Here is a 27,044-nt window from a genome sequence, read left to right as displayed (position 1 = left end):
AAAATCTAAAGCTGAAAGAAAAAATATTTAAATAACTGAAAAGTCCGTTGTAAAGAAAGTAATATATATGGAAAACATAAAAATGGAGAAGGTGGCCAGTACCTTCTCAGCAAAAATAATGAGATTGAAGTTTGGGAATGACCCATATGTCATGCAGCGGCTGCTGCTGAAGACTCAGCACATGTGTGAAATAAAGTATACCTGAACATAGCCCAGAGAAGCAGCACTGTGGTTTCTGTGGGAGCAGCTTCAGATGCGCTCACACAGTGGGATACTGTACAATGCTTAAAACAGTTAGGTGGAGCCATATGTGTTTCAACACAAGTAATGAGAGCTATCGAGATGGAGACAGACAGACAGATATATTACAAGTTTAAATTCCTGGCTCTATAGAATTTCTCAAAGAGGTTCCCTACAGCACCCCAAAGAGACTCATCAAGATTGTGTCTTTAAAAATACCCAGTCCCGGCCAGGTGTGGTGGCTCATACCTGTAATCCCAGCACTTTGGGAGGCCAAGGCGGGTGGATGGCTTGAGGTCAGGAGTTCGAGACCAGCCTGGCCAACATGGCAGAATCCCATCTCTACTAAAAATATAAATAATTAGCCAGGTATGGTGGTTCATACCTGTAATGCCAGGAACTGAGAGGCTGAGGCACAAGAATTGCTTGAACCGAGGAGGCGGAGGTTGCAGTGAGCTGAGATTGCGCCACTGCACTCCAGCCTGGGTGATGGAGTAAGACTGTCTCAAAAAAAAAAAAAAAAAAAAAAAAAAAAGGAAAAGAAAAGAAAAATAAAGAGAAAAAAGTTTCAAAATAAATAAATATAAATAAAAGTAGACAGTCCTGGGCTCCACCACAGGAGATGAACGTGAGTCCCAAGAATCTGCCTTCCAACCAATCTCCCTGGTGTTACTGTGCAGATCAAAGCTTAGGAATCCTAGGGGAGAGGCTTACATTCCCCTTTGAGGGAAATCTCCTATTTGGAAGGGAGACTGGGAATGGGAATCAGCCTCTTATGAAATGAAGAGGTTTGTAATCTGTGTATCTAAGCAAACCAAAAACATCTCCAAGAAAATGAGAAAAGGAGTTGCTGTAAACAAAGTTGCATCTCTAAAGAATGTGTCTAAGTGGAAAAATGTTTATCTTCTCCATGCACTACACTGTCCTGTGCCAGGAGTCAGTCTCCTTTATTTGAGGGGGTGAAGCTGGTAGGAATGCACGTATTACTGGTACATTATAATATATTCAAGAGAAATTCAAGTAGAAAGCAGGGATATACCTAACCCCTGGACACTGGAACCACCAGTTTCACCATCTTTGTTTTGTTAAGAAATGACTTTTTCAACTTTATTTTTGAAATCATTCTAAAACAAAATTGGCTTTTTTCTCACTTTTGGTGCACAGTTCTATAATGTTAACACATTTACAGATTTGTGTTTACACCATCACAATCGGGACACAGAGGGGTCTGTCTATCCCCAAAGGATCACGCGCTCCCAGGCCCCCACTTCCTTCCTCTGCAAACCACCGTTCTATTCTCTATCACTATCATTTTGTCTTTCGGGGAATGTTTTCTAAACGGAATCACACAGTATATAACTTTTAGAGACAGGCTTCTTTCACTCAGCACGTTACCTTTGAGATTCATCCAGTTGCTGCACATGTCAGTAGTTGAACTTTTTGTTGCTGACAGTAGTAGTCTATTGTGTGGATGTACCACAATTAATCTATTTACCCCTTGAAGGACATTTGGGTTGTTTCCAATTTGGAATTCTTACAAATAAAGTTGCTATAATCATTTGTGTACAGGTTTTTTGTGTACGAATATATGTTCTCATTTCTCTGGGATAAATGCCAAAGAGTGAGATTGCTGGGTCATATGATAAATGAATGTTTAACTTTATAAAGAACCTGATAACTCTTTGCCAGACTTTAACAGACCAATTTGCATTCCCGCCAACAATTATGAGAATTCCAGTTGTCTATATCCTACTGAGGACTTAGTACCATCAGGACTTTTAATTTTAGCCATTCTAATAGGTATGTGCATAGCCATTCTAATAGGTATGTGTATGAGCTACTGCTGCTCTTGGGAAAGATCCCTGCAGTGGACAGACTGCTGGGCACCGAGGTGTAGGAAGACCGTGGCCTGGAGTAAGGCCGGCCCTCTGGGGCCAAGTCCTTTCAGTTGATAATACTGAAAAACCCAGTATTATCAACATCTGGGTTTTTAATTTTCATTTTCCTAATAACGTGTGATGTTGAAAACCTTTCTATGCATTTCCTGTCTTTTTATCTACTTTGATAAGCTGTCTATTCAAGACTTTTACACAATTTTTAGAAATTGGGTTTTCTTATTGTTGAGTTATGAGAGTTCTTTAAATATTTTGGGTATTAGTCCTTTGTTGAACACAGAGTTCACAAATATTTCCCCTACTTTGTAGCTTGTCTTCTCATTCTTAGTAGTGCCTTTTGCACAGTAAAAGTTTTTAATTTTGATATAGTCTAACAAGCCATTTTTTAAAATTTTATGTTATATACTTTTGGTGTCATGTGTAAGAACTCCTTGTCTAATCCCAATTAACAAAGGTTTTCTCCCATGTTTTCTAATAGTAATATAGTTTTACATTTTATATTTAGATTTATAATTTATTTAACTTTTGTATAGTGTTATATTTAGTTTAAGGTTCATTTTTTACATGTGAATAATTTTTTCCAATGTCATTGTTTTAAAAGACTGTAATATCTCCACTGAATTGCTCTTGTACTTTCATCAAAAATCTCTGCTACATCTGTGTAGTAGATAACCTTGACTCATTATTCCTTTCCATTGATCTATGTAACTATTCCAATACCATTTTGATTGCTGAAGGATGATAGTCTTTTAATTGGGTAGTGTGACCTCTCCAAATTTGTTTAGCTATTCCAGATTTTTGTATTTCTATATAAATTTTAGAATGAGTTACTCTCGATTAAAAAGATACTGCAACATTTTGATTGGTATTGTTTTCAATAAATAGAGCAGTTTGGAGAGTGCTGACATATTTACTATGTTTAGTCTCCAATACAAGCACATGGCAGGTCTCTTCATTTATCTAGGTCTTCCTTCATTTCTTTCATCAGCATTCTCCAGTTTTAGCTCACATACCCAGTACATGTTTTATTAGGTTGATTTGTATTTCATTTTTGTTGAAGCTATTGTAAATGGCTTTTCATTTTTGTTTCCAATTGTGTATTTTCAGCATAAACATATACAATTGAATTTTTTTATATTGGCTTTGTATCCTGTAACTTCCTACATTTACGTATTGCTTTTATTATATTCCTTTAGGTCTTCTTCATAGAAAATCACGTTGGGTATTTTTATTTCTTCCTCTCCATATGCTATGCCTTTTCTTTTTCTTGCCTTATTGGACTAAGACTTCAAATAAGATAGTGAATAGTATTAGTGAGAATGCATATTCTTTTTTTTCCCCCTCAGTCTTAGAAAGCATCCAATCTTTCTCCAGTAAGTATAGTGCTAGAGGTTTATCAATTTTATGGATTATTTTTCAAAGAACCAGATTTGGGTTTTTAATTTTCATTGTTTTACTATTTCAGTATCATACATTTCTACTCTTGTCTTTATGATTTATTTCTCTCTTCTTGATTTAGGTTTAATTTGGTCTTACTTTTTTTATTTTCTTAAGGTGGTGGCTAAATCAGAGGGTGGTAATCTACAGGCCAAATCAATACAACTACCTGTTTTTATACATAAAGTTTCATTGAATGTAGCCACACTAATGTGTTTACATATTGGCGATGACTGCTTTTGCCCAATGGTAGAGTTTAATAGTTGTGGCAGATACCATATGGCCCAGAAAGCCTAAAATATTTACTGTCCAAACATAGAGAGAAAGTTTGCCAACCACTGGCCTAGATTATGGCTTTGAGCATTTTCTTCATTTTAAAAATAAGGTTTAAGGCTACATATTAGCTGCATGCCACAAGATGTGAAATGTCATTTTCATTTTTTTCCTGTTTAAAATATTTTCTAATTTATCTTGAAACTTCCTCTTTGGGTCATGTCTTATGTAAAATTATGTTTTATTTTCACTTTTTTTTTTTTCTTTTTTGAGACAGAGTTTCGCTCTTGTAGCCCAGGCTGGAGTGCAGTGGCACGATCTCAGCTCACTGCAACCTCCACCTCCCCGGTTCAAGCAATTCTCCTGCCACAGCCTCCCAGATAGCTGGGATTACAGGCATATGCCACCACTCTCGGCAATTTTGTATTTTTAGCAGAGACAGGGTTTCATCATGTTGGTCAGGCTGGTCTTGAACTCCTGACCTCAAGTGATCCACCCACCTCGGCCTCCCAAAGCACTGGGATTACAGGTGTGAGCCACCACACCCGGCCTCACTTTCATTATTTTTTATTTTTCTTGAAACTTTCTCTTTAGGTCATGGTTTATTCAAAAGTATATTGGTAATTTCTAAGTATCTGAAGATTTTTCTATCTATCTTTTTATTAATTTCCAGTTTAACTCAGTTATGACCAGAAGTCATTCTCTTTATGACTTTCTTTTAAATTTGTTAAGGTTTGACTTATGACCCCCAATGTGGACTGTCTTGGTAAATGTCCCATATGCATTTGAAAAGACTGTATATGCTACTATGGTTGAGTGGAGTATTGTATAAATGTCCATTAGATTCAGTTGGTTGATAGTTCAGTTCTTCTATGTCCTTGCTGATCTTCTATTACTGAGACAGGAGTAATTTTTCAACTATAGTTGTGAATTTCTCTACTTCTCCTTTCAGTTACATCAGTTTTTGCTTCTGTATTTTGAAGCTCTGTTATTGCACACACATTTATGATTGTTATAGCTTCTTCCCGAACTAACCCTTCAATCAATATGTAATGTCTGTCTTTAACCCTGATGATTTTCTAGCTCTGAAGCCTATCTTGTTTGATTTTAACATAGCCATGCTAATTTACTTTTGGTTTGTGTTTGTGTGGGTTTTATTTCCCTCCATCCTTTCTGCTTTTCAGCTTACAATAACAATATATTTGAAGTGAGTTTCTTATGGAAAGCCCATAGCTAGGACATTTTTTTAAATCCAGTCTGACAATCTCTAGCTTTTAGTTGGTTTGTTTAGACCATTTATATTTAACATAGTACTTGATAGGTCTGGATTTAGGTCTGCCATTTTATCATTTCCTTCTTGTTCTGTTTTTCATTTTTTCTGTTCCCGCCCTTCTTCATTTGTTGAGGTTATAGTGTTCCATTTTAATTTATCAGTTATGATTTTGACTATATCTCTGTATAAACTTTCAGTGATTATTCTAGGGGTTACGGTATGTATAGTTAACTTTCCACATTTTATTTAGAATTAATATTTTACCACTTCAATTGGAACAGAGAAACCAGATCACCTGCATTTGTTTTGTATTGCTCCCATAACAAATAATGAAAAAATTAGTGGCTTAAAAAGATAAATTTATTACTTTTCAGTTCTGAGAAAGTCTGAGATGGGTCTTGTCAGGCTGAAATCAAAGCGCTGACAAGAATGCATTTTTTTTTTTTGGAGGCTCTAGTTGAGAATCCATTTCTTTATCTTTCTCAGCCTTAGCAAAATTCCATTTTTTAAAATTTTCATCAACAGCCATGTTTAGCTGATCAGTCAGCTAAGGACTGATCTTAGCTTTTAGAGGCCGCCCACATTCCCTGACCCCTTTCTCCATCTTCAAAGCCAGAAACAGTGAGTTAAGTCTCTCTCATTGATGCATCCCACTATTTTGTTTTCCTCTTCCACTTTTAAGGGCTCATGTTACTTGATTGGGCCCACCAGGAAAACAAAGGTTATTCTATCTTAAAGTCTGTTAGATCCCATCTACAAGTCCTTTGTGCCACATAATGTAACATATTCACAGGATCCTGGGATAAGGATGTGGGTATCTGGGGTTAGGGAAGGGAGATTATCCTGTCTACCATACCAGCGTATAGGTCTCTTCTCCCATAATATAATAATACATAAGTTGTCTTATATATTACATCTAAATACAGTGAAAATTTGTATCAGACCATGTTTAACTTTTGATTTCAACCATAAGCCATACTTAATTTCAAGAGAAAATAAATGGTCTATTAAATTTTAAGATAGTCTATTCAATTAAAATAGAAAGGCTATTGTATTTTTCACTTGCATTTCCTTGATTTTGATATTCCATATTTCCTTCTTGTACCATTTCTCATCTGTTTAAGAAGGCCTTCTTGTTATTTTGTGTCAGGTCTGCTGCCTCCAAATTCTCTTAGTTTTTCCCAATCTGAGAATATATTTTTCACCTTCATTTCTGAAGGATATTTTAGCTAGATATTGAATTCTATACTTTTCTTTCAACACTTGAAAAACGGATGTGCCATTTTCTCCTGGCCTCCATGATTTCTGATGAGAAATCTCAGCCATTTGAATCATTGTTCTTCCATATATCAGTTATCATTGCTCTGACTGACTTCAATATTTTTTTAAGTTTTTAGCAGTTTATGATGTGCCTGGGTGTGTGTTTATTTGGATTCATCCTATTTGGGGTTAGCTTAGCTTCTTGAATCTATCAATGTTTCAGCCATCATTTCTTTGAATACTTGTTGAGGCTTACTCACTTTCTCCTTTCCTTCTGGCACTCCAGTGATACAAATATTAGCCTTTTGTGATTGTTCTATAATCCCGGAGACTCTATTATTTTTCAATCTTCTTCTTTCTTCAGATTGGATAACCTTTATTGATTTATCTTCAGTTTTACTGACTCTTTCCTCTGTCATCCCCAGTCTGCTATTGAATCCATATAGTGAGGTTTGTTTTTTATGGGTGGAGAATGGGTGGGGCAGGCAGCTATTGTATTTTTCAGTTCTGGTTTCCATTGGTGCCACTTCACATCTTTCCTCGCTTATAGTTTCTATCTTTTATTTCAAGACTCATGATTATTCATTTGAGCATTCTACAATAGCTCCTTTAAAGTCATATTTTCATTTTCATCTGTTAATTGCCTTTTCCCATGTGAGTTAACATTTTTACATTTCTTCATAAACCAATATAAATTATACCTTGGACATTTTGAATGTTATAAAACTCTCTGCTTTATTTAAGTCTACAAAGATGCTGATATCATTGTTTTAGGAAGCACTTGATCTGGTTAGCTTCTAGCCATAAATTGCAGCCCACCTTCTGTTGGCTATGGTTCCAATTATCAGTTTAGTTTTCAATAGCTATGCAGGTTCATTTAGATATGCCCTGCTTGTATAGGACGTAAGGTCAGTCTGGGACTTGAGTGGAGTTCCACCCATTAACTCCATTCTCAAAGTCATTGGTACGCTAATAAGGATCAGATCCATGTATGTTCAGGCTATGGATGAGTCCATGAGTCCACAATGTATTTGATCATTTCCCAAGCCCTTCCTTCTCAGCTGTCTCCTGTGATACTTTCTGGCATCCTAGAACTCACCCTTTTTCATTCAACAATCGGGAACAACCTACATCTATGATCATACCAGGGTTGTGGGGAAGACACAGAGAGATTTAAAAAACAAAACAAATTAAAAAACCCAATTGGCACCACTAAGAGCTACCAAATAGCTCTATTTTACCGAATAGAAAGCATATGCCCCTCCCTAACCCATTATTTTTGCTTCTGCAGTTTCCTACCACCAGCTGCTTTTGCTGCCACTGCCTCCACCACAAGACTGTTGGGGAGCCGGGGCATGACAAAAGTGAGATAAAGGAGGCACACAAGGTAGGGGATTTCCCCCTCCCTCTTAGCTTCAGGACTTCCCTTTTCTCCTTGGGCCACAGCTAGAGGTCATCTCTTTCTCTTTCCTTCTGAGATCCACTGCTAACATCTGGATCTGGGACTGCATTAAATTCACGCTGGATAATTGGTCCAGTTTTGTCATGACCCAGCTCCAGGGGATCTATGGATAGAGACAGTCAGCAGTTGGCACTGGGAAACTGCAGGAGCCAATCTGATGAATGAGGAGAATGGCTTTCCTGTTTGTCGAAGCTGTAGCTTTACTTTTCTGAGACTTCAACTAGCTTTACCATATATTTCATATTTGTGTTCAGTGGAAGAGAAACGTTGAAGTGTTTTTATTCTAACTTATTCAGAACCGGAACTCATTTAAGTTTTGCAAAGCACGCTGACCATAGTTTCTCCAAGTATGTGAGTAGTACACAACCACGTGCAGAAAATTATAAACATATAAACACAAAAAGATATGCCCAGAGAAAATAAGGATCCTTAAGGTGTATAAAGCTAATACACCCCTGGACTCTTTTGTACCTGAAAATGTCACTTCTCCAATAAACAGCGTATTTCCCAGAACAATATATTTTCCAGAATAAGCAACAACAGCATAAAATACAGAATAAAACAACAAAATAAACAACCATGTATAAAGAATTACAAACATATAAACATAAAAAGATGTGTCCAGAAAAAAAAAAAGTGCTCTTAAAGTACGTAATGTACGCTTGGTCTCTTTTGTGCCTGAAAATGTTACTTCTCCAATGAACAATGTATTTTCCAGACAAAGCAAAACTTAAAGAAATAATAAATCTAAGAGTCAGGTTTGGAAAGGCTGCTGAGACAAATTCAACTATCTGAATATTATATTGTTTGCTTCCTCTCGAAGGATATTTAAAAATAAACATATTTGTTCCATTTTCTACCATGACTCAAGTTCATAGGTTATTGTCATAAACACTCAAAAGGCTATAAGCTAAAATGTGACCCTTGAAGAGCAGGATCTCTTCACAAAACATGATACCTATGCTACCCTACCTGGTAATCTTCAGCTTTCATTTATTGAACAAAAATATGCATTTTCCCTCTCCAAACCACTAACGGCAGAGCAAGGTCTTTACAGGAAATGGCCCCAAGCCGAGGAGCCTAATGGAAGCTTCATTTATTATGGTTTTAAGCCAGACATCCTCCCCAGCTGGCCTCTAGCAACTGGCCAAGCAGAAAAAGAAAACAAACCTTTTTAATACCAGCCCCCAAATCTCTGATTGAGCTCATACTGCAATGTTACCTGAATAAGAACCGCAAGGTAGGAAAGAGGTTCTCAGAATGGAACAGCATAATTTTACAGAGCATTTTAGAGCTATTCAGTAACACTGACTCGGATTGTTTCTCAAACTTCTTTTTTAATATAAATGGGACAAAAAGGTCTGGCTTTCACAATCTAGTATCAATCCAAATAACAGACTAGCAAGCAGTCACTAGTCAGAATGTGTCATTACTGGATATTTTTTTAATTAACCATCAAGATTTGTTTTTCTTACCAGTCGAAAGGAAATTTCATATCACGTCATTTTAACATGAGGGAAAAAGAATAACAAAAATAGGGTCAATAATAGTAAAAAATCTGATGGTGTATGCCTACCTTATGATAAAGATAAAGGCAAATGTAATTATATAGACAGATTATTCTGCACTTTAATAGAACTGGGAAAAGAATTTATATACCTTGGTGCATTTAATTATGCTTGCGGCAAAAACAAATCTCTCCTCTTTTCTAAAGGAGATTATCCTTCATAAAAAGCTCTCTCTAGATCATTTCCAGAGGATAAACAAACCATTTCCCTGCTTTTAAGATAAATTTGGCTCTTTTCTTCCAAAACACAGATTCCCTATCTACCATTTCAACTTTTTACTAAATGTGTAATCTAATTACAGGTGGAGAATCATTTCATATACTAGACATACTATTTAAAATTATACCACGTGGACAGAAACCCCTTCAAAATTAAGATCAACTAAAAGAACCGGATGAAATTTTCAGCCCCACCATCCATGTTCTTGGAAGGAAACATAATGCATTAATAGAGAAGTAAGATCCTATCTTCTCTGGTTAATGACTAGAAGTGGGACAGGGTATGACCCCTAGAAATCTCAGTCATTTGAAAAGACCCTAGAACTGCTTACCTCTTTTTCAGTCATTCCAAATTCATATAGTGTGCTTGGAGAAGTTTGGAGAAAAGGAAAGGGAGGAAGGAGCTAGGGTTTCGGAAACATTCAGACACTTACACATCCACTTTAATTCCAATCTCTGATGAGATATTTACAGTTACTATCTTGCCCTGAAATGACCAGAATGAATTCAATAAAATGTGTAAGTGACTTTTAAGTGAACCCTAACGAAGTTAATGTACCATTCAACAAAAAAAAATAAATTGTGAAGCAAAGCATAATTAGCTAGTCTGAGGTTGCTATGTTTTTAAAGGTCTGCCTGCAAGGTTGGCCCTTACCTGGCATCAGTAACTTGGATTTTGGGAGATTCCCCACCACGCTAAGTGATAAGAGTGGGTCACTATGCACAAACTGTATGCAAACAACTTGGTTTATACTAATTATCTGCCTTCCTTCTGAGAGTCTAGAATTTGAGCACATGTTAGGTAGAGGTGCCTTTGTGACCAGCTCCCAATAAAAAGCTCCCTAAGGAACTTCCCTGGTGGAAAACATTTCACACATGTTGTCAAACTCACTGATGCAGGAATTAAACATGTCCTGTGTGACTCCACAGAGAGAGAACTCTTGGAAGTTTATGCCTGGGTTCTTCCAGATTTTCTCATCCACTTTTCTCTTTGCCACTATTATTTTTTCCCTGCTATTCCTGTGGTAAATCATAGCTGTAGGAGGAAAGGTTGAGTCCTCCTAGAGAATTACCAAAGCTGAGAGTGGTCTTAGAGACCTGAACCCTGAAATATTAATCAAAATTTTAAAATTTCAACAAAAATACAAAGTGGGCTTCAACACTATACTACCTGCCTTAACTGAGATCTTACCTAATCTTTTTAAAAACTTTTTTATCCTAAATAGTTGTAAAGGCCTTTTAGTGTTCTAACCCTGCTATTTTTCATATACCTCAGCCCATAATCATTTTCAGATCCCTGGGCCAATAAGCTCCAAAGATTCTTAGCACTGGCTATGCATTCTCATATGCACTTCTGTGCAATCACACTGCCTATGAACATCTCTGTGAAGACTTTCCCACCATTCCCTAGCAGACGAAACCACTGTCCTAAAACTGAATTTATTTCATCCACATATTCTATTATATATTATTTAGGGATATATAAACATATTTTTAATAAACTTTACATAAGTCGTACATGACTACATGCTTTTCAATCAGCATTACCTTCACGAATTTTACCCACAATGATAAATGTAGCTTCATTAAAGCCATTTTAAGAGTTGTATAGGATTGCATTATGGAAAGATCTATAATATATTGATTAATGTTCCACAGATGGTTACTTAAGATGCTTAACTCTATTATACCACTACAAAAGGATTTAAAGAAGATACTTAGACTTGTCTTCTGATGTACACGTCAGTTTCTCTCTCTGTTTTTCAGCCAAGTATAAACTTCCAGTTAGAAGTGATTAGTAATGGGTGAAGAATATTTGGTTGTTAAAATGGCCATGGTAGGGAACATAACTCATAGTGTGTGCAAATTAGGGATATACAAAATATTCCACAAGAGAGACTTATCCTGTCCAAATTACCAATAAGGTCCCATTGAGAAACACCATACCTCAGAGTAGAATTATTGGTTTGTAGGTCGCATATATTTTAAACTTGACTAGCTAGGTATTGCCAAACTATTCTCCAAAGTAGGTATATTAATTTATATTCCTGATGCAGTTAATGAGTTCCCATTGTGCAACATCCTTGCCTGCACCTATAATTGCAAGCTATATATTTGCCAATCTGAAATGACGAAAGGGGATCTAATAAGTAGCTTTTTAAAAAACTTTATATGGTGCCAAGAGTCATTTAAAAAGAAAATTTGGTGAGTTCAATGTATCAATTTTTTAATGTATTGTGTTTTGGGGTTGGAATATGTGCAATGCATATGGTTTTAAAATACTCAAGGTGGGGACCAGCCAAGATGGCCAACTAAATGCAGCCAGGAATAGCTTCTGCCACTAAGAGAGACAAGACTATCAATTAGACTGGCATATTCTGAACAGATCTTCAGAAAGAAGGTATTGAGAGGGGACAGAGGGAGGATGTAGACCCCAGGCTGAAAGGTAAGAAGCTGGGAACTCTACATGGGGTTGCCAAGCAGTAAGACTCATTCCTGGCCCCAAACAGCTCCTAGGAAAGGGGTGAATGAAATAGGCATGGAGTGGTCCACTTTCACCATAGACCTTTGAGATCCCAGCTGCAGGATATCCCACAACCCCCCCAGATATTTAAGGTGGCAGGGAGATCTTCCCAGATAGTTAGCAGAGACAGAACTCCAGCCTGTGCAAAGCCAAGGGGGGTTGGCATGGGACTATCTGCCATGGAGCATGGCCATGAAAGCCCACCCCCCAAGGCTTGGCATACTCCTCTAGGCAGCATTAGCCTTTGTTAGCTGCTGGACCCCGACAGAGCAAGGATGTCTTGCTATGGGACAGGAACAATCTGATCTGAGTGTTCCACCTGTCTGCTGGCCTCTCCCAGGGTCCCTGCCTGGCCACACAACTTACAGCGCAGCCTCAGCTGCCCAGCCAAAGCATTTACAAGCAGCCACTGCCATAGGTTTTTCAACAGCAGACCCCACCTACCTGTCAGAGTACTTTTGCAGAAAGACCTCTGCCGGTGTGCACCCACCCACAGCCTTCTTCTGCCTGGTGCACCCACCCACAGCCTCCTCCCACTGCCTCACCAGTGCACACACATATAACGACACACCACCGCCCCACTGGATCACTTTTATTGGCAGCCCCCATCAGAGTGTTGCTGCTAGGGGACTGTGAACACTTCAGCTCCTCCAGCACAGCAGGTGCTTAACCTTGAGGGGCCAGAGAACCAAGCTGCTGGCCTGTTTCCAGCCCCCAATGATAAGGGCATGCAGGCCAGGAGTGCTAAACTGAGCCTTGCCTCCCTGAAAGCATCCAAAAATGAAGCCAGTTGGCTAAACCTAATTTGCACTACAGTCAAACCCTCAAGGGGATCAAAGAGTATAAAAGCAAAAAGCCCCATCAAAAAGACAGTGACTTAAAAGATTAAAGGAACATCAGCCCATACAGATGAGAAAGAACTAGTGCAAGATCTCTGGCAACTCTAAAAGCCAGAGTATCTTCTGACCTCCAAATGACCACACTAGCTCTCCAGCAATGATGCTTAACCAGACTAAAATGGCTGAAATGACAGACATAGAATTCAGAATCCAGACAGCAAGGAAGCTCACTCGTCAAGATATAGGAGAAGGCTGAAATTCAATCCAAGGAAAACAGTAAAACGGCCCAGGAGCTGAAAGATGTCATAATCATTTTACAAAAGAATCAACTGAACTTCTGGAAATGAATCACTCATGACAGAAATTGGATTGCAATTGGAAGCATTACTAACAGAAGAGAGAAAGCTGAGAAAAGAATCTCAGAATTCAAAAACAACTTATTTGAATCAACGCAGGCAGACAAAGATAAAGAAAAGAGAATTTTAAAAAATAAACAAAACCTCAAAGAAATATGGGATTATGTAGAAGACTACACCTATCACTCACTGGCATTCCTGAAAGACACAGAGTTAGAAAGCAACTGGGAAAACATATTTGAGGATATAAGAATATTATCCATGAAAATTCCCAGACCTCACTAAAGAGGTCAACCTGCAAACTCAGGAAATTCATAGAACCCCTGCAAGATACTATACAAGATGACTTTCACCAAGGTATAGAGTCTTCAGATTCTTTGAAATCATTGCAAAAGAAAAATTCTTAAAGGCAGCTAGAGAGAAGGGGCAGGTCATATACAAAGGGAATCCCATCAGGCAAAGATGGGCCTTTCAGTAGAAATAATTGCGGGCCTATATTCAGTATATGAAAAAAAAATAATTCCAACCAAGAATGTCATATCCAGCCAAACTAAGCTTCAAAACTGAAGGAGATATAAAATCCTTTTCAGACAAGAAATGCTAGGGGAATATGTTACCACTAGACCAGCCTTATAAGAGGTCCTTATGGGAATGCTAAACATGGAAATGAAAGACTGTTACTGGCCATCAAAAAAATATACTGAAGTACATAGCACACTGACACTATAAAACAACTGCACAGTCAAGACTATATAACAAACAGTGAACATCACAACAACAAGATCAAACCTGTATATATCAATATTAACCTTGAATGTAAATAAGCTAAATACCCCACTTAAAAGACCCAGAGTGGCAAGTTGGATAAAGAAGAAAGACCCAACTGCATGTTGTCTTCAAGAGACCCATCTCAACTGCCACAACATCTATAGCTTCAAAGTAAAGGGATTGAGAAAGATCTATTAAGCAAATAGAAAACAAAAGAAGCAGGGGTTCCTATTTTTTTCCAGACAAAACAGAGTGCACTAACAATAATCAAGAAGGACAAAGAAGGACATTCCATAATGATAAAGAGTTCAATTCAACAAGAAGAATCAACTATCCTAAATTTATATGTACCCAACACTGGAGCAGCCAGATTCATAAAACAAGCTTGTAAAGGCCTAGAATTAGATATCCACACAATACTAGGGGGAGACTTCAAACCACTGACACTGTTAGGTCAAACTTTGTTAGTATTCCAAACTAAGAAAGATATTTGAGACCTAAACTCAACACTTGACCAAATGGACCTAACAGACTTCTACAGAATACTCCAACCAACAGTAACAGAATATACATTCTCATCTGCATGTGGCACATACCCTAAGATCCATCATATGTTTGGCCATAAAGCAATTCTCAACAAGTTAAAAAATATATACTAACCACACTCTCAATAAAAACAAAAACGAAAACAAAAAAGACCTCTCAAAACCACACAATAACATGGAAATTAAACAACCTGCTCTTAAATGATTTTTGGGTAAATAATGAAATTAAGGCAGAAATCAAGAAATTCTTTGAAACTAATGAAAACCAAGACACAACATATCAGAATCTCTGGGACACAGTTGGAGTTTAAGATGAAAGTGTGTAATGCTAAATGCCTACATCAAGAAGTTAGAAAGATCTCAAATTAACAATCTAACATCACACTTAGAGGAACTGGAAAAATGAGCAAATCAAACCCAATGTTAGCAGAAGAAAAATAACAAAAGTTGGAGTTGAACTGAATCAAATTGAGACACAAAAACCCATACAAAAGGTCAATGAAACCAAAAGTTGTTATTTGAAAGAATAAGATTGGTAGTGAGACTAATGAAGAAAAAAAAAAGAGAAGATCCAAATCAACACAATCAGAAACAACAAAGCAGACGTTACCCACGACCCCACAGAAATTAAAAAAAAAAAAAACCCTCGAGACTAATGGATGCCTTTATGCACACAAACTAGAAAACATATAAGAAATGGATAAATGGAAACATACAGCCTCCCAAGATTGAACCAAGAAGAAATTGAAATTCTGATCTGACCAACAGTGAGTTCTGAAATTGAATCACTAATAAAAAATAAAAAAAATTTAAAAACCTACGAAAAAGGAAAAGCCCTGGAATAGAAAAACTTACAGCCAAATACTACCAGATGCATAAGGAAGGGCTGGTACCAATCCTATTGAAATTATTTTTAAAAAATCAAGGAGGAGTGATTCCTCCCTAACTCATTCTGTGAGGCTAGCATCATTCTGATATCAATACCTGGCACAGACACAACAACAACAAAAGCTTCAGGTCAAGAACACGGGTGTAAAAATTCCCAGCAAAATACAAGCAAACTGAATCCAGCAGCACATCAAAAAGCTAAGCCACCATGATATAGTACTATTTCTGGGATGCAAGCTTGGTTCAAAGTATGCAAATCAATAAATGTGATTCATCGCATAAATAGAACTAAAAGCAAAAACCACATGATTATCTGAATAGATGCAGAAAAGGCTTTTGATAAAATCCAAAATCCTTCATGTTAAAAACCCTCAACAAACTAGGCATCAAAGGAACATAATAAATAAAAAGAGAGCAGCAAACCCACAGCCAGCATCATAGTGAACAGGCAAAACCTGGAAGCATTCTCCTTGAGAACCAGAACAAGGCAAAGATGCCCACTCTCACCACTCCTATTCAGCATAGTACTGGAAGTCCTAGTCATAACAATAAAGCAAGAGAAAGAAATAAAAGGCATCCAAATAGGAAGAGAGGAAGTCAAACTATCTCTCTTCAAAGACTATACAATTCTTTACCTAGAAAACCCCATAGTCCCTGCTCAAAGCCTCCTAGAATTGATAAACAAGTAAATTTTCAGGATACAAAATCAAGTAAAAAAAAAATCAGTAACATTTCTATAAATCAGTAATGTATAAGTTGAGTGCCAAATCAAGAACACAATCCCATTCACAATAACCACAAAAAGAAGAAAATACCTAGGAATGAACTAACCAGGGAGGTGAAAGATGTCTACAACAAGAATTACAAAACACTGCTAAAAGAAGTCAGAGATGACACAAACAAATGGAAAAGCATTCCATGCTCTTGAATTGGAGGAATCACTATTGTTAAAAATGATCACACTGCCCAAAGCAATTTACAGATTCAATGCTATTCCTATTAACTACCACTCATTTTTCACAGATTTAGAAAAAAAACTATTCTAAAATTCCTATGAAACCAAAAAAGAGACCAAATAACCAAAGCAATTCTAAGCAAAAAGAACAAAGCCAGAGGTATCACACCACTCAACTTCAAACTATACTGCAAGGCTATAGCAACTGTAACAGGATGGTATTGGTACAAAAACAGACACACAGACCAATGGAACAGGTTATATAACCCTGCTGATCTTCAACAAACTTCGACAATAACAAGCAATGGAGAAAGGACTCCCTATTCAATAATAGTGGAGGGAGCTGTAGGCCATTATCCTAAGTGAATTAATAAAGGAACAGGAAACCAAATACTACGTGTTCTCCCTTATAAATAGGAGCTAAACACTGAGTACATATAGACACAAGGAAGGGAATGACAGACACCACGGCCTACTTGAGGGTAGAGGGAGAGAGGGATTTTCAAAAAAAACTACCTGTTAGGTACTACGCTCACTGCCTGAAACCATTAGTACATCAAACCCCAGTGACATGCAATTTACTCATGGAACAAATCTGTACATGTACCTCCCTGAAACTAAAATAACAGTTGAAAAATAAAAATCAAATCAAATCAAATCCTCAAGGTCATAAATATATTATCATATGTTTTTCTAGGAAAGCTCTAAAGTTTCACAACCAGTCATTTACTCTATCCTGAATTGTTAATGGTTTTAGATGGGGGTGATATTTCTTTGTTTATCCATTTGGATAATCTAATTGTAAAGCACCCTTTACTGCAAAGACCAACCCCAGCCCTTAATGATTTGCTATGCCATCCCTATCAGGTACAGAGTTTCCATAGGTGAGGACTATACCTGGTTATCTATACCTGTGTCAATACCGTATAATAATTAATTGCTATAGGTTTACCATAAGTGTTGATACTGAGCTGAGCAAGCAGTCCACCTTGTAGTCCTTCAAATTGGTTCCTATTTTCTTTGCTCTTCTATTCAAATTTTAGAATCCATTTGTCTGGGTATCTGTACCTCCGAATAAAAGCAGAAGACATTCTGATTGGCAATTAATTTACAAATTAATATTAGGGCATTTGACAGCTTCATGATATTTTCATCTCCCAAGCCATGAATATACTTTTTATATCTTTTTTTGTAATGAACTATGTTTAGAGCAGTTTTAGATTTACAAAGACATCGTGTAGAAAGTATAGAGATTTCCTCTGCTATATACTACCTCTGTCCATCCTTTTTAACATACATTTCTTCGCTTTTATTTACATCTTGTATTAGTGTGATACATTTGTTATAATACAATTGTTGAACCAATATTTACACATGATTAACAACTAAATCTATAGTGTAAATTAAGGTTGGCTTTTTGTGTTGTACAGTTCTATGGGCTTTGACAAACATATAATGTCCTGTATTTACCCTTACAGTATTATACAGAGTAGTTTCTGTACGTCATAAAAAATCCCCTGCTTTGTCCATTCATCCCTCTCTTACCTCCCCCTGAACCTCTGGTAGCCAGTGATTGCATTATAGTCTCTATAGTTCTGTCCTTCCCAGAATGTCAAAGAGCTGGAATCACATATTACATAGCCTTTTCAGACTAACTTACTTCACTCATGAATATGTATTTAAGGTTCCTCCATGCCTTTTCATAGCTTGATAACATTTCTTTTTATCTCTGAATAATATTCTATTGTCTAGATGTGCCATAGTTTATCCATTTGACTACTGAAGAACCTCTGGGCTGCTTCCACTTTCTGACAATTATAAATAAAGCTGCTAGAAACATCCATGTGCAGGATTTCGTGTGGACCTAAGTTTTCAACTCATTTGGGTAAATATTAAAAAGCATGATCACTAGATCAATGGTATCTATATAACTTCAGTCTTCAATGAGCAGTTAGTTATATTTTTAAATTTTCCTACTAGGCATCTTGCCCATATTTTGATAAATTAATTCCTAGGTATCTCATAATTTTGTAGTTATTAGTATTGTATTATAATTTCCTCATGAGCTGATAGTATGTAGAAAAGCAATTGACTTTTATATGTGGATTCTAATTCCAACCATCTTCTTGAAATCATTTTTCACTCCAATAATGTGTCTGTAAACTCTAATTATCTATGATTTTCTATGTAGACAAGCAAATTATTTTCAAATGAGGACAGTTTTGTGTCATCTTTTTCAAGTCACTTAATTTTTTTTTTTTTTTTTTTGGGCTTCCAACTCAATACGTAACAGTAGTTGTGATATTAACCATCCTCGTAATATTCCTTAAGACATTTTAGGCTAAGAACATATCTCTTTTTTTTTTTTTTTTGGGTTAGTTTACTAACAGCTCTTAAGATGGACAAGTGCTGAATTTTGCCAAAAGATTTTTTTCCTGCATCTGTTTAAGTAATCATGTTTCTTTTCTCCTTTTATCTGTTAATGTAGTAAATTACATTGATATTCTAATGTTAAACTATCTTTTTCATTCTGAGATATAACCAAATATTTCTTATTTGCATTGTAATATTTTAAAAATACCATTGCTGAATTCAGATTACGAACATATTATTATTTGTCCATACTAGTTTACATGTAATATCAACCTGTAATTTTTCCTTTGTTCTTTGTTTAGGTTGAGTCATGTGTTATACTACTTTCAGCAAAGAAAGACTTAGTGTAAGAGTGGAATTTCTTACTTAATTGCTAGAACTTACCTATAAAATTGCCTGTGCATAAAGGTTTTCTTGAAAATAGTTATTTAACTGGTGATTGAATTGAATTTTTCATTGGTTTTAAACTCATTTAGGTTTTTTACATCTTGTATTAGTTTAATAAGTTCCATATTTTTTAGAAAAGTATAGATTTTTATCTAGGACTGTAAACATACCAACATAAAATTTCATTATATTGCTGTTTTAATCTCTGTCCTGTTTATGAATATGTCCCTATTATTTTTAGTATTATTTTTTCTGGCATAGAATACAAAGAATTAATGAAGCCAAAGTTGTTTCTTTAAAAACACTTATAAAGGCCAGGCACGGTGGCTCACACCTGTAATCCCAGCACTTTGGGAGGCCAAGGCGGGCGGATCACAAGGTCAGGAGATCAAGACCATCCTGGCTAACACGGTGAAATCCCATCTCTACTAAAAATACAAAAATTAGCTGGGCATGGTGGCAAGTGCCTGTCCCAGCTACTCAGGAGGCTGAGGCAGGAGAATTGCTTGAACCAGGGAGGCAGAGGTTGCAGTGAGCCAAGATCCGCGCCACTACACTCCAGCCTGGGAAACAGAGCGAGACTCCATCTCTCAAAAAAAAAAAAAAAAAAATGCTTATAAAACAGAATATCATTTCTTGTTTGCTAAATCTTGGCAATCTTTTTCATCTATGTTTTTTCTATTTTATTATCACCTGCTCTTATCTTTCTTACAAGTTGATTTAAGAAAGGTTAAATTGATTTAAGTTGATTTAAGATTTAACAAAGGTTCCATGTTTCTGAAATGTAAAGGGTCCAGAACAGGCAAGATATAATCAAGATTATCAGTGAGTTGCAATAAATACGAAATTGATTTTGTGGTCTACAGATGCACAAATAGATGATGCAATAGAAAAAGACAGTGGAGAAAATGTAAAGATATGGAAAACAGAATCTTTAATTCACTTTAAAATTTATCTCAATTATCTTTTGAAATTTTCAGTATAGACATTTTTAATTTTTCTTTATTACTAGCATATAAAAGTAAAATTTACCTGTAAATACTGATCTTGATGATTTCTGTTATTCCTTCTAACACATTTTTGGTAACTATTTTCAGATTTTGTATCTGTACAACCTGATCACCTGTGACTAATACTAGTTTTATATTTTTTCCTAATCCTTATGACTTGTTTATTCTGTTATTTAATAGAAATGATAAGGGGCACCCTTCAGTTGTAAACACTCTCAAAAGAATCTTAAAAATTTCATCATTTAATTATGTTTTCTGTAGACTTTCTAAGATAAATACTCATCAAGTTAAGAAAATTCTCTTCTATTTCTAGTTTGATAAAAATTTCTATTGTAAGTAGCATTCACTGTAATTGCTTCTTCTGCAACCTTCAAAGCGATCATATGATTTCCTCCTTTTCTGTTAATGTGAGAAACTATACTGATCTGCAAGTATTTACTCATCCTTTCACTGCTGAAATAAATTCCACTGGGATAACACTTTTATATATCAGACTAAGTTCTACTTGCTAAGTGTCTTAGGATTTTTACACCTATGTTCATGAAAGAGTGTAGTCATAATTTTCTATTCCTGTGATGTTTTGGTAGAAACCATAGAGTTGGAAAGCATGACTTCCTTTACCATTTTCTTAGAAAGTTTGTGTAAAATTGGTGGCATTTTTTAAAAGGATGCATCAGTAAAGCTCTCTGGCATGCATGTGTATATATGTGAAGATTTTTAATAATAAATTTAAATTATTTAATAGACATCAATTCATTCATAATTTCTACTTCCTCTTTTGTCAGTTTTGTTATGTTTGCTGTTGTGGGGAGGGGGGAGTTTGTCCATGTTAAAGTATTTAGCTTATTGGACTAGAGTTATTCATAATATCCTATGCTTTTCATTTCTATATCATGTTTAGTTTAAAAATAACCCTTTTTATTGCTCATATTGGTAATATGCTTTTTTTCTGAACAATCCTGCAAGTTTATTAATACCTTCTAAAATTAATTTTTCCTCTGTTGATTTTATTTATTAATTTTGGTTTTTGACTATTTCCTTTTTGCTACACCTATACCCTTTGGGTTTCATTTACTATTCTTTTTCTAAACTATTGACATTGAAAATTAGATATTGATTTTCAGACCATACCTTTTGCTTGTTTATGCATTTGATGTTATAAATTTCCCTCTAAGCACTGAATTAGTTGCATTCCACAAGTTGTAATATGTCACATTTTCATTACCATTCAGTTCAGTATATTTCCTGATTTCTTTTTTTTTAGAGCATTTCCCATTTTCACTCATAAAATTATTAATCAAAATTCCAAAAGTAGATTCACTGAACCAGTGGTAACAAAATAGGAAATGAAATATTCCAGAGACATTTTGATAAGCTCCAAAGAAACACATGCTAGGCCAAAAATCTCCAGTTAAACCATGGTTGCACAACAAGTTATATTCATTCCTGCATTTTCTCAATAAGTTCTTCCTTATATTTGCCTGTCTCTTTTCCAACTTGTCAAGACTTGGCTTTGCATTCAAGAATTTTTTCTGATCCTTGTCCAGTTTTGGCCTGGTGAGAGCCACCTTGCTCAAGTGAAGGCCCACAGGGATGGTGGTGCCGTTGGCCCTCTCACACTGCACCTGCTCAATGTAGAGGACATATTTCTTTCTGAATAAGGGACACAAGGAAGTGTGTGTGGGTGTGCATGCATTGGGAAATGATGGATACACCTTGACTTTCTTTCTGTACAACTTGACTACTTGCCAATTTGTTAACCTCTGTAGTGTCCTCAAACCACCTGGACCTCGTGGTCCTTGCAGATGGGCATGGAGCAGACATTGTATTTCTGCTCAGCTCTTTGGAGAGCAGGGACGACATGACCTTCCTGCATACCTGCGAGGGGGCATTGAAGTGACGTTTGCAGTTTTTGCTGTGGTCCCAGGTCACCAAGCGATTGAACTTCATGGTGACTCTCTGGCTCCTATATATTTCCTGATTTCTATCTTATTCTATGACATATTGGATTTTAGAAATATAGTGCTTAATTTCTATATGGGGATTGTCTAGTTATGTTTGTGTAACTGACTTCTAGCCTAATTGCTGAGGATTAAGTCAGAAAGCAAATCAGTATGTTTTCAGTCCTCTGAAATTAGAGGCTCCCTTTGTGGCCCAGCACATGGTTAATTCTGCAGTTGCTGGGTTCTATATATGCCATTTAGTGAAAGGTGTTTGGCTGTGTTGTTTAGATCTATGTGCTTTTGATTTGTTCATCTTCTTGTTCTATCAGTAAAGACAACAGGTATTGAGAAAGCAATGTTGCTGCATTAACGGCACTCACTAAAGGGGATGAGAGACGGTATGTCACTATTGAGTCCAGCCCTACTAGAGAGTTCTAGGGTAATTCGCTGAGAAGTACAGGTTTTCAAGGGATAGCCTGAGATCAGTCTTGACTTTGTTGTGTTTCACAAGTCCAGCTGGAAAAGCCACATTGGCAGCTGGACACATGATTGTGAAGCAAAGAGAGAGGGCACATCTAGAGAAAGATGTTGAAGAGATTGGCAATTCAGATGACAATTGGAGGCATGGTAATGGATGACATTGCCAAGAAAATATAAAAGCCTTATACTATGACGATTAGCCTTAAAGAACTCCAACACTTAGTGGTTTCTTAGAGCAGCATAAACTTGCAAAGGAAACTAGAAAGACATAGCCAGAGAGGGGAAAAAAAAATATGGTGTTATCTTATGACAAATAGAACCCAAAACCGAAAAGCCAAAGGAAGGGTGTTTTATAGAGGAAGTGGTCAACAGTCTCAAGTGCTGTTTGGAGATCCAGTAACAATAATCTTGAATGTATCCATTTAGTGAAATGAAGATTACTGACAATCTTGATATGCATTGTTTTGATGGGAGAATGGAGAAGAAAATCTGCCTAAAGTAGGTTCAGAAGAGAGTGGGAAAGAAGGAAATGAAAGTAACAGATTAGATAACTAAAAAAAAAATTGGGCTGAAGGTCGAGCAGAAGAGGCTGGATCACAGAGGTAGACAGACGCAACACTCACGCTAAACGCACGTGCTTCTCTGGCTACAGTGTTCAATCAGTAATTACTCATTGATTGGACTGCTACCCCTCATCTCCCAATGCATGCACACCCACACACACTTCCTTGATCACCTTAGAAGAATAGTTATTATCTGCCATCCAGGTATAGACCCAAGTTTTGAAATTAAGCACCATCCAATAAAAAAAATTGTCTTAGCCATTACATACAAATATAAGAGAAGGCAATTCACTTCTTCACATAATTGAGTTTATTGGCCCTAGATTAAACCACACAGATGGATCTCTTAAACAGTTCCTACATTAGAACACAACCATTAAACTTCAAAGGTCCTGCCTAACATTATCACCACATTTAAAGGTTTCCTTGTCTAATAATTACCTGCAGAAACAGAACACCTGAACTATCTTTAGAACATCACCGGAATAAGGATAGTAGGAGGCAAAGGTATTAATTTCCAGTACAAAATCTTGTCCAACTTAGGTAAAGAAGTTATTTTAGGATGGTAAATGTAATTGAAAGGTTAGCCCAAAAGAAACACTAATTTAGAACAACAGAAACTTTATGCATATGTTCCAAAGCCATTTCTGGTGTGAAAAAGAATATGTTTCACAAATGGTGCATATTTTTAAGCCATAAAATCCAGACAAATTTTTCAGAAACAAAGCAAAATATTTTAAAGAAATCATCACATCTACCAAAGAGCAAGAAAGAAAATTTAAATTCAAATACCTATCTTTCAAATAAGTATATTATACCATTTATCTTTCTCTTGCTTCTAAAACATCAAGCCAGTAGTTTCTTTCATAACATAATCATTCAAAGCATGTCCCCAGCTCCTACCCATATTAACAGAAACAGCAAACACCTATTGTCTATCCAAAGAGCAATTACACCTCCTCCAAGCAGACAGGAAAACTCACTAATTCTAACATGCTACAAGTAGTTTTACTGATAACCTCTAGAGATTTGCAACCAATTTCAAAACATATACCCAAATATAATCACATCATTATGCCCTTAAGGTAGTCTCATGTAAGAATACAAGTATCATGCTTCCTTCAATTAAAAGAGATGAGAGAATAATATAATTGGAAGAGCAGTGAGTAGAGAAATCCAATTTTTGGACAACCTAATGTGTGGTATATCTTGCAAAGCTTATCAAAATTGTTTAGATGGGGAGTTTCCTGTAAATTATTAATTCCATCATCTGGATTTAAATCTATGTAACTAGTAGAAAGGATAACTTTTTTATGCACACACACTCTCGTCTCACATACATACACACAAATAGCATATGAAGTACTGTTGTAACTGACTGGTAACACTGTTGTGATTGACTGGTAATACAACCAAGTGTTACCAGTCAATTACAACTTCTTTGCCATTGCTGTTTTAAAATACTAATCCAGTCATCTGATACACATATTGACACCTAAGTAACGATGGGATATTCCAGCCACTAGGGATATATCAGTGAACAAGGCAGAGTACTTGCTTACATGAAAGTTATGTACTACTTGGAAGAGACAGACAATAATTTCTGTCTGTCTGTGATGGTAAAGGGAAGAGAAACAACCGAGTGGAAACAAAGGGTGGCTGTGGACAGCCAAGCATCTATTTTTCTATCATGCATCAGGAAAACACCCCTTAGATGAGGTAAGCAGAATGTGGAAGAAAGTGTGGGAGAACACCAGGGGGATACATGTAGCCAAAGAGCCTCTCACATAGCAGAAAGAGCAAGTGCAGAAGGCCAGGAGAGGGGGATAGGGGGTAGGCAGCCCACCTGGGGAGATGGAGAAAGAGCAAGGAGGCCAGTGTGGTTGGAAGAGAGCCAGAGAGGGGGACCACCAGGAGATGACCTCAAAGGGGAGCAGGAGATCGCATTGGACAGGTCCATGTAGGCCAGTCTGTGGACATCAGCTTTTACTGTGAGTGGGCTGGGAAACCACTAAAGGTTAAAAATGGCGTCAAACAATTCCTCTACTAGTTCCTACTAAGCATCTGGTCCTGTGTTCACTGCTTTACATACATCATCAGAAATCCTTAAAATGATCTTATACAATAGGTAATTTTACCTCCAACTTTACAGATGAAGCAAATGCAAACTGTTCAAGCTCACAGTGCCCGAAATTGAAGCCTCTCTATCTCAGTGTTGCTCAACAGGGGGTACTTCTGGCACTTGGGGTGGAAACATTCTTTGACATATGGGTCTGTTCTGTACACTGTAAGATGGCAGCTATCATAGTCCCCATCTCCTATGTGTCAGCAATGTCCCTGTCAGTGTGACCAGAAAAACCATCATATACATTTCAAAAGTCCCCAACAGGAACATAACGTCCACTAGCTGGAACCACAAGCATGGTGCCTGAATACCCTCACCACTGTGCCCTGCTTCTGTTATTTTATTCTGCTTGGAGAAAAGGGACAACTGGAAAAAAAATGTTACAATATAGATGGATAAGTGAAACGCTTTAGAGTTGAACCTTTTTTTTAGAGGTATCTTCCCTTACTTCAAACTCTGAAACAACAGTATCACGGCTAAATATCAGAGTTGGAACACAATTACCAAGCCCAGAGAATAACATAACATTCTTTAGCTACAGAGTTGAGCCCAGAGAGTCCTTGAAGTAATAAAACAACTTTCTGTGAACTCGGGAATATAATAGGCTCTGTGGAAAATATTCAGAGGTAAGGTCTTCTTCAGAACCTTGGTTATATTAAAATGTATTTGTTGAGTATTTCCTAACATGAAATACTAGAAAACTGTCTACAGCAATGGCTAATCACATATATGGGAGCCTGATAAATTTAACCCTTATAAAAGCTGCTCTGTCCACGAGAGAGCTTATACAAGACACACTGAAAATTAACACTGAGATATCAGTTTTCAATAATCTTCATAAGGCAATCATTGAAAACATATGATTCCAGATATCTGGAGTTGTAAAGACAAATCTACTCTATTATCTGTCTAAAACATCAATTATTCTATCAATTATTCTTACCCCTAAATTCTATCAATTATTCTTACACCTAAAGCCTGAATATTAGAAGAATTTGAAACTCTGCCCAAATCTTTATAAGGCACTTACTGAAAAAGATGACTTAAAATAATCAACATTTTAAGAATAAATCTATATGATTTGTGTAACTCATGATTCATGCTTAAAAGTGAACTTGAACAGAGCTTGAAAACTGACAGAATTTGAAACCCAAACTAACCAACCTCAGTGTGTCAACACGAGATACTTCAATGGGCCCTTTATAAATATCACGAAGTGCTAAGTGTGAAAGACAAATGAACATTGTTGGAGCAATTTAAAAAGTCCTTATACTAATCATTTAAACAATATTATTAAAATAGTATAATGCTAAGTGAAGAAGACACTAACATTGTTGGAGCAATTAAAAAACCCTTATGCTAATAGTTTAAAAATAATGTTATTAAAGTATTCCATCAATCCATCCCTGATTCAGAAGTGGAAATCTGGCAAACATGCTTTCCTTAGGTCCTAAAAACTACCAATAATATACAAAAAGATTAAAAATAAGAATCACTTAAAAAGTAGTCATCTCAGAGCTGACTCTACTCTTATCTCCTCAAAAAAAAAAAAAAAAGTCAATGTAGAAATGTTACCTGAGTATCTACTAGTTCTTATAAGAGTGGCACAAAACCTGTCCATAAGAAGTTTATGATCTACTGGTAAGAATTCATGGATAGCAA

The 27,044-nt window shown here is 36.4% G+C and overlaps 1 protein-coding gene and 1 pseudogene across 25 annotated transcripts in view; both read right to left on the bottom strand.

Annotated features, from left to right (window-relative positions):
- The window catches only part of MCTP2 (multiple C2 and transmembrane domain containing 2), a 252,587-nt gene that overhangs the window by 188,236 nt on the left and 37,307 nt on the right, over nt 1–27,044 (bottom strand). For 8 of the 25 annotated variants that reach the window (NR_169530.1, NR_169529.1, NR_169527.1 and 5 more), the window contains exon 2: nt 17,454–17,563. The exons of the other annotated variants lie outside the window; for them this stretch is intronic. The gene's annotated coding sequence lies outside the window, so the exon portion shown is untranslated. The remainder of the gene's footprint in view (nt 1–17,453; nt 17,564–27,044) is intronic. 25 annotated transcript variants of the gene reach the window in all.
- Nucleotides 21,715–22,221, bottom strand: RPL26P5 (ribosomal protein L26 pseudogene 5; annotated as a pseudogene).

This window comes from Homo sapiens, chromosome 15, assembly GCF_000001405.40.
Source record: "Homo sapiens chromosome 15, GRCh38.p14 Primary Assembly".
In the NCBI taxonomy this organism is placed as follows: domain Eukaryota; kingdom Metazoa; phylum Chordata; class Mammalia; order Primates; family Hominidae; genus Homo; species Homo sapiens.
The sequence above is the reverse complement of the archived record's forward strand: the minus strand, read 5'-3'. Positions and strand labels throughout refer to the sequence as shown.